Here is a 7,617-nt window from a genome sequence, read left to right as displayed (position 1 = left end):
AGTTTCTTAACCATCCATTGACATGTACTTGTTCATTCATTCAACTGTCAAATATGTACAAACTGCTTAAAGTTGTTGAGGCACTATTCTAGGAGACAAAACAGGTTAAAGCACCTGCCTCAGTAAAGCTCATGGTCTGGTCACAACTGATCATGACTTGAGGTGCTTACTTAGGACCTCCCAATATGGCTATCATATCCAGGGATTTGATAATTTGAAGGGATTTTAGAAATAATTTTTATATTGATAAATAGGTGGTGCTGAAAATATTTGGTGGACCAAAAAGATTCTCCAGCCCCTGCTTATATATGAAGACCAAGGTCTAAACAAGGGACAGACCCAGCAGCCTTATATGTTCAAGGCAGGCTTGAAGTGTAAGTTCCTGGTGCTCCCATTGGTCAGAGCCCTCCACTTCTTGGAGGACTCTGTCACCTGATCTGATTCTATGGCTGGCTGACCTTGCCCTCAGAGTATTATTGCCTCGACTTTGGAGCAAACAATTTATGCCAGGTGCCTGTTGGAGTGCCTGAAAACAGAGTGGAGCTTTGCTGAGCTTCCAAGAAAGGTTGTCTGAGGTTTCTGCAACTGCTTGCTGAAAGTGTTTGTACACTTGGCATAATTTGATCAAATATTTGCTTGCATTGTAATCTACTGTCTGAAAACAACATTATCAGGGAAGGGATATTTAAACCCTACCTTCCTCTCATTGCTAGAGGATACCCGCATTTACCAGAAACACATGCCAACTCAATTAGCCAAATGAACTGGATCAGTTCCCGAAAGCCCTGTGCTTTCTTCCTCACCAGACCTTTAGTCTTCAAAATGGTCGTGCCTGTGATCTCAGTTCCTTTTTTCTGCTGGACTCTAAGGGGTTAGTTAGATCTGCCAATTATTATTAACTATGCAGAACACTCACACTTTAATAGTTTAGGTCAGTTAGAGCTGAGCTCAATAGGGTAGATTTCAGGCACTGACAGTTGCTTAATCAGAGCTTGAAGTGATTAGGCAGCTGGGTCTTTTGATTTCTCCCAAAATATTCAACTCAGGAAGCTGTTCACTCTCCCAGGGTCATCCCAAAACATCGTCCAATGCCATGGCACTAACTTCATGGAAAATGACTCTTAATTCAGCCATTTTCCACAGAACTGCTTAATTTCCCATTAGTAGCATTTATAGAGTATTTTTTTTCTTGGGCATAGAATACCTTATTAAATGTTGCAATAAATCATCATTAATGATGACAACAAATAATTACTGAAAGTCACCTGTAGTCTCTTGAGAGTAGGGGTGAGAGTGGGCAACAGTGAGGTGCCTAAAGTACTTAGAAATAAACCCTCTGTATCACAGCAGGGATACATAAGCTCCTGTTAAGGAGACAGAGCTCTGAGATCTATGGCTGATGAACCTATTGAAAGTGAAATGCACATCCTGACATAATCACTGAGAAGTGGGAATGTGGTCCTGGAAATAGAAAACTTAATGACCCAGTGCTAAACAGACTCATGATACACATTAATAAATCTTGTGAATCTACAATATTTACAGCATTTTATTATATGGTATATACAATATAAATGCCATTAAAGGTTTATTGGCTGATTTCTATATCTTCTCTGCATTCTTTAGAATTGTTTTAGTGATTCTCTTAATCTGGGCAGGGTGCTATAACAAAGCACCATAGACTGGGTGGCTCACAAATAAGGGAAATTTATATCTCACAGTTCTGGAGGTGGGGAAGTCCAAGATCTAGGTACCAGCAGATTCAGTGTCTGGTGATGGCCTTTTCCTGGTTCATAGATGACTATCTTCTCACTGTGTCATCACATGGTGGAAGGGATGAGGGAGTCTCCAGGGTCCCTTTCATTAGGACACTAATCCCAGGGACTGAATCAACTACAAGAGGTTCCACCTCCTAATGCCATCACCTAGAGGGTTATAATTTCAACATATTAATTTTGAAGGACACAAGCATTCAGTCCATAGCTGTGATGGATCTACTTAATTCTAGAACATGACCCATATCCCCCTAACTACTTAATGTGAGCACAGTGTGTCGGGGGGGTCCTTGCCAAGGAGGAAGAGATGGGCATGGAACTAGTGCTTGCTTTAGAGTGATGCCGATGACCTCTATCCTTTATCAATGCTGCATGCAGCCTACTAAACATGGCAGGCCTGTGTTAACAAACACCAAAAAAAAAAAAAAAAGACTGGGTCAGAAGGAGTTGGGTAGCAAGGATGCGGAGAAAAAGGAGAGTCTCAAAGTTGGCAGTATCCATCTGTATTAGTCCGTTTTCATGTTGCTGATAAAAGACATACCCAAGACTGGGTAATTGATAAAGAAAAAGAGGCATGGCAGCAGGGAAGACAGAATGAGAGCCAAGTGAAAGGGGAAGCCCCTTATAAAAACATCAGATCTCGTGAGACTTATTCACTACCACGAGAACAGTATGGAGGGAACTGCCCCCATGATTCAGTTGTCTCCCACCGGGTCCCTCCCGCAACATGTGGGAATTATGGGAGCTACAATTCATAATGAGATTTGGGTGGGGACACAGCCAAACCATATCACCATCCAACTAATGTCTGCTTATTAGTCAGAGAAACAGAAACCAATAGGATATGTCTAGATACATAAGAGGAGATTATAAGAATTGGCTCACATGATTGTGGAGACTGAAAAGTCCCACAACATGCTGTCTGTAAGCTGGAGAACAAGGAAAGCCAGGAAGTCATTCGGTTTGAGTGCAGGAGAAGATGGATAGCCCAGATAAGAAAAGAGAGAATTTACCCTTTCTCCACCTTTTTGTTTATCTGGGCACTCAGTGGATTGTGCTCACTGACTCTGGGCAGTGAGGAGGATCTTCTTTATTCAGTCTATTGATTCAAATGCTTATTTTGAAACGCCTTCCAGAAATACCCTTGCAGACACACCCAGAAATAATGTTTCACTAGCTATCTGGGCATCCTTTAATTCCATCAAGTTGACACATAAAATTAACGATCACAGTCAGAAAGAAGATTCACTCTACCTTTATATATCCCTGCTGTGGAGGTGAACATAACAAGCTTTCAGAGCCTGATGACATTGAATATTCATATTACATAAATAACATCCCTTGTTTTCCTTCTTTTCTCCCTAAGCCATCCACTGATTATTCAAGTTCTATTGACATTAAGGCAAATTTTAATATTCTTTAAAATACTATTGTGTTCTGTTGGAAATGAAACACTCTACAGCCTTACATGAAAGTGGAGTCACAAAATTGAATGAGCCTAGATCTTGAATCACTATGTGAAAAGCCACCCACTCAACACACATTGGACTGCTACATCTTAAACTTCTACTGTATAAACCTCTGGATTTTTAGATTTATTGGCACAGAAGCTTTCATTACCTTAACTAATACAGGGCCCTAGCAAATCCCTCATCTTCTTAAACTTAATGACTTTTTACTTCTCTTTTCTGCTTCTGATAATTGTGGTGGGAAGATTTATAATCCCAGAAGAATAGAAAAGAATTATATTATTTCAAATGACACTGTTACAATGCAAATACTATGAATGTGGATCTACTGAGTGTACCACAGCACCTCTCTCCAGCATACTGTATGCTCAGCCAGCATCTGGAAACTAATGCTCTCTCAAAATTGGCCTATTACGTTTGAAAGTGCATTGACATATACAAGCCAAAAAATGTTTATGATGGAAAATTTCATCCTATATAATTTCCTTCACAAATCAAGGGTAATTTCTAAGATCACATAGGTATAGGATTTATAGATTTTATTTTGCTGGTAGCATAGGAATTACTAAGTAAATGATAGACTTTCTGTTTAATACAGTCCATTCCATGAAAATAACAGAGCGTAGCCTCTGCAGAGGAATTTAGATATAATAGGAGATAATGAACTATTATGTAATCTGTGCAATGAATTAAAATGAGTGCAATCAAGTATAATTTTGATGCCTTGAGAAAAAAGGTATTTGGTAACCAAAACGGTTAATAATGCTTCTTAAGGAAAAGCTCCTTAAAAATAAGCTTCCAAGTGCTTCAACAAAGCAAAATGACAACATATTGTGAATAATAGATTATTGCTGGGACAAATATGAAAATGAAGAACATCAGGATAGCATGATTGGCAACCAGCTTGTTTTTCTCTGTCTTCCTTGAGCATTTACAAGAGCAGAGATCTGGTGTGTTGGAACATCAGCTGGAAGGTGTAGAGGACTGTGTCCAAGGACAAGGGCTCTGGAGGCAGACAACCTTGGTTTCCATCACTCCCTGGTTACATATCATTGAGAAATTGACTTTTCTCTGTGCTAAACTTCATTTTTTCTCTCTATAAAATGAGAACATAAGGGTGTCTATTTTTTAGATCTGTTGTGAAATGTAAGACAAAATTACAAAAGAAATTCCACAGCAAATTACCTACCCAAAACTAAGCACTCACTAACCTTAGCTAGATGTACATTCAGAAAAAGACTAATACAAATACAAATAATAGAGAGTTGTCATGTCCTGAGATCCATCACAATGAGCCAACACTAGGTTAATCTGAGTACTGAAGATGATGGAGACTTTTTAATATTTCAAAGCACTTTTCACACTCTTTCATTTTGTTCCTCAGTTTTCACTGTACAACCCCCCCCCCTTTCTTATGAATGACAAAACTAAGGCATAGGCAAATTAAGTAAATTATATAGATTACATGCCTTGTTAATAGCAAAAGACTAGAATCTAGGTCTACTAGTTCCCATTATACTTTTTAACACTAACAGGAAGCATAATTTTGTGTAGTTAGCCTCACAGAGATTGTGTTATTGCAGAACTGTAATAAAGCACCCATATTAAATACCCCAGAAAGAAGAGAGTTTACATACACAGGATTTTGGGGTCTGTGCTGGAGATGGAATGTAGGTAAATGGCCCCAGTGTCCAGAGTTTTTACTGGGGTTTCATTACTGAGGCAGGAATGATTAAATCAATCAAGCTGGTCCAAAGTGTCAATCTTCTAATAACGTGGCTGATCTTTCTGGGGACCAGCCCCCATCCTGAAGCAATGTAGGGGGCCCATCAGGAGTTTCTTCCATAGCATAGTAAGAGCACTCCTGTCAGTCAGGAAAGCTCTAGGGTTTTTGAAGCTCAAGTTGATAACCAGCCACAAAGACCAGATATATTTTTTGTTATACCACACGGTATTTCTTTGAAAAACCCAAGCCACCACCTCAAGTACTTGGGAGGGAATTTATTACTGATTAAACCAAAGAAATACCCAATCCCCTGATATGGCTTTTAACAACTTCTTTTGACATTTGTCACTCATACAGTTTGTACTGATTTCAGAGGTGGAATGGTATTTTAGAGGCCCATCTGAGCCCCTGAGATAAGCTCTCATCAACAACTCTCTCTCTCGAGGGCTGGACAATGGGTCTTCTTAGAGACAGCTTTCCATTGGGCAGCCTTATCAAGTAGTCCCAAAGTGTAATACACCATCATGGATACATTTTACTCTATAATTCTTGCCTATGTTTACCAGGTTTTCAATGATGAACACAAGTGACTTGTTAACAGGAAATATTTTTTTAAAAAAAAGGAGTAGCAGCCTAATTATGGTATATCCATACAATGACACTATGCAGCAATTATGAAGAATGGAAAGAAGTCCAAAATATAGATTTAGATAAAAACATCAATGCTATATAGAATCATTATTAAATTTAAAATATGTATCTACCCTTACATATACATACACATATATATCTAACCATAATATAGCTTTAGATAAAAACATCAGTGCTATATAATCATTAACTTTAAAATATATATCTACCCTTATATGTACACACATACATAAATGTACCCTTACATATACATATAAACACACAAATATGTATCTCTATCCTTACATTATACATATATGTACATATACATACATACATATTTAACATATACATATTAAAAGTATGTATATGTATACATATATTCTTATATATACATATACACATATGTATGTATATGTAATAGGTATATATACACACATATATGTATAATATGTTAGGATATATATATATTTTAAAGTTAATAATGGTTATCTCTGGTAAGTGATATTGGGAGAGTCAGGAAACATGGAGGAAAATTGGCTTCTTCCCACTGGATACTCTTCTATAGGTTTAGTTTTTAATATATAGGTAAATGCAAATATGCCTTATTGTCATATTTTCTTCTTTATCTTTTTTTTGAGATAGGGTCTTATTCTGTCACCCACACTAGTGTGCAGTGGCTCGATCATGGCTCACTGCGTCCTTGAACTCCTGGCCTCAAGCAATCCTCCCACCTCAGCCTCCCAAAGAACTGGGATTACAGATGTAAGCCACTGTGAACAGCCTGTGCCAAGTTTTCTCTTTGTCAATGGCAGGGGGTAGCCACAATTAAGAAGTGGAAAAAAGGTATCTTCCCTACTTAGAGGAACTTACAAGCACTTAGTAAAGTCATATTTTGTAATAAAAAGCAAGATAGAAAAAAGAAGCAAGGAAGAGAGGACAGGAAAAGGAGAGGAATGGAGGGAAGGAGAAAGAGAAGGGGCAGGCATGAGTTCCATGACTGTGTACCGCATGTTGTGTAGAATGTGACAAATAACAACTATAACTAGTTCCTTTATAGAAACATAGCAAACTCAGTCATCATCCCTGACGTTATCATTATGTAGGTATCTAAGGTAGGTTTTCGCAAAAACTGTTCTTTTCTCTCTCTCTCTCTTTTTTAAATACAGGATCTTCCTTTGTTGCCCAGGCTGGAATGCAGTGGCATGAACTCAGTTAGTGGAAGCTTCTACCTCCCAGGCTTAAGTGATCCTCCTTCCACAGCCTCCCAAATAGCTGAGACTACAGGCGTATGCCACCATGCCTGATTAATATTGTTTATTTCTTGTAGAGACAGAGTCTCCCCATGTTGTCCAGGCTGATCTGAAACTGCTGGGCTCAACTGATCCTCCTGACTCAGCCTCCCAAAATGCTGGGATTACAGGCATGAGCCAACATGCCCGGCCAGCCACTGTTTTTGTAGTCAGGAGATTGCCACCATAAATTGTGTAGCCAAGGTGACAAAGAAGTTATTAATAATTTTATGACACATTTCCCTTTCCTTCTATGCCCCTTCTAAGATGTTTAAATTTATTAGCATAGTAATATGGATTTAATGACAACACAATGGAGAAATCTGGAATTGCAGAATGAATGGTGATGTTTCACTGCTTTCTGTACAGATAATTTTATCTTCATTAAAAGCTAGTGATTTAGGGGTACTCTTAAGATTATAAGCCTCCTTTTATAGAGCTTTGGAACAAACAAATGTTCTTAATAAAGAGCAGGAAGTGAGGAGGGGCTGGACTCAGAGGGGTGAGCTGTTAGGAGGCATTGTCTAGTCTCGGGACAGCAGGCAGAGTAATTGCTAACTGAAGGAAACTTCCAAGGATAACTCTGGGAGTCCTCATCTGGGCTGAAGACAGGACTACTACCAGAGGGGCAGTGGGATCAATGGGACTCCAAGCGAGTGCATGTCACAGAAGCCCTGGCCCTGGTCTCCCAAGGCAGGGATGCCTGAGTTCTACTTGTCATGTGT

At 38.9% G+C, this 7,617-nt stretch overlaps 1 annotated feature.

Annotated features, from left to right (window-relative positions):
* Nucleotides 6,218–7,417: an enhancer, noted in NCBI's record as "MED14-independent group 3 enhancer chr1:233843943-233845142 (GRCh37/hg19 assembly coordinates)". NCBI's record gives its function as "activates an origin of replication core promoter dependent on BRD2, BRD4, P300/CBP and CDK7 cofactors, and independent of MED14, by STARR-seq in HCT116 cells {active_cell/tissue: HCT116}" and the evidence as "EXISTENCE:reporter gene assay evidence [ECO:0000049][PMID:35650434]".

Source organism: Homo sapiens, chromosome 1 (assembly GCF_000001405.40).
Source record: "Homo sapiens chromosome 1, GRCh38.p14 Primary Assembly".
NCBI lineage: Eukaryota > Metazoa > Chordata > Mammalia > Primates > Hominidae > Homo > Homo sapiens.
This window is presented reverse-complemented; position numbering and strand designations above follow the sequence as displayed.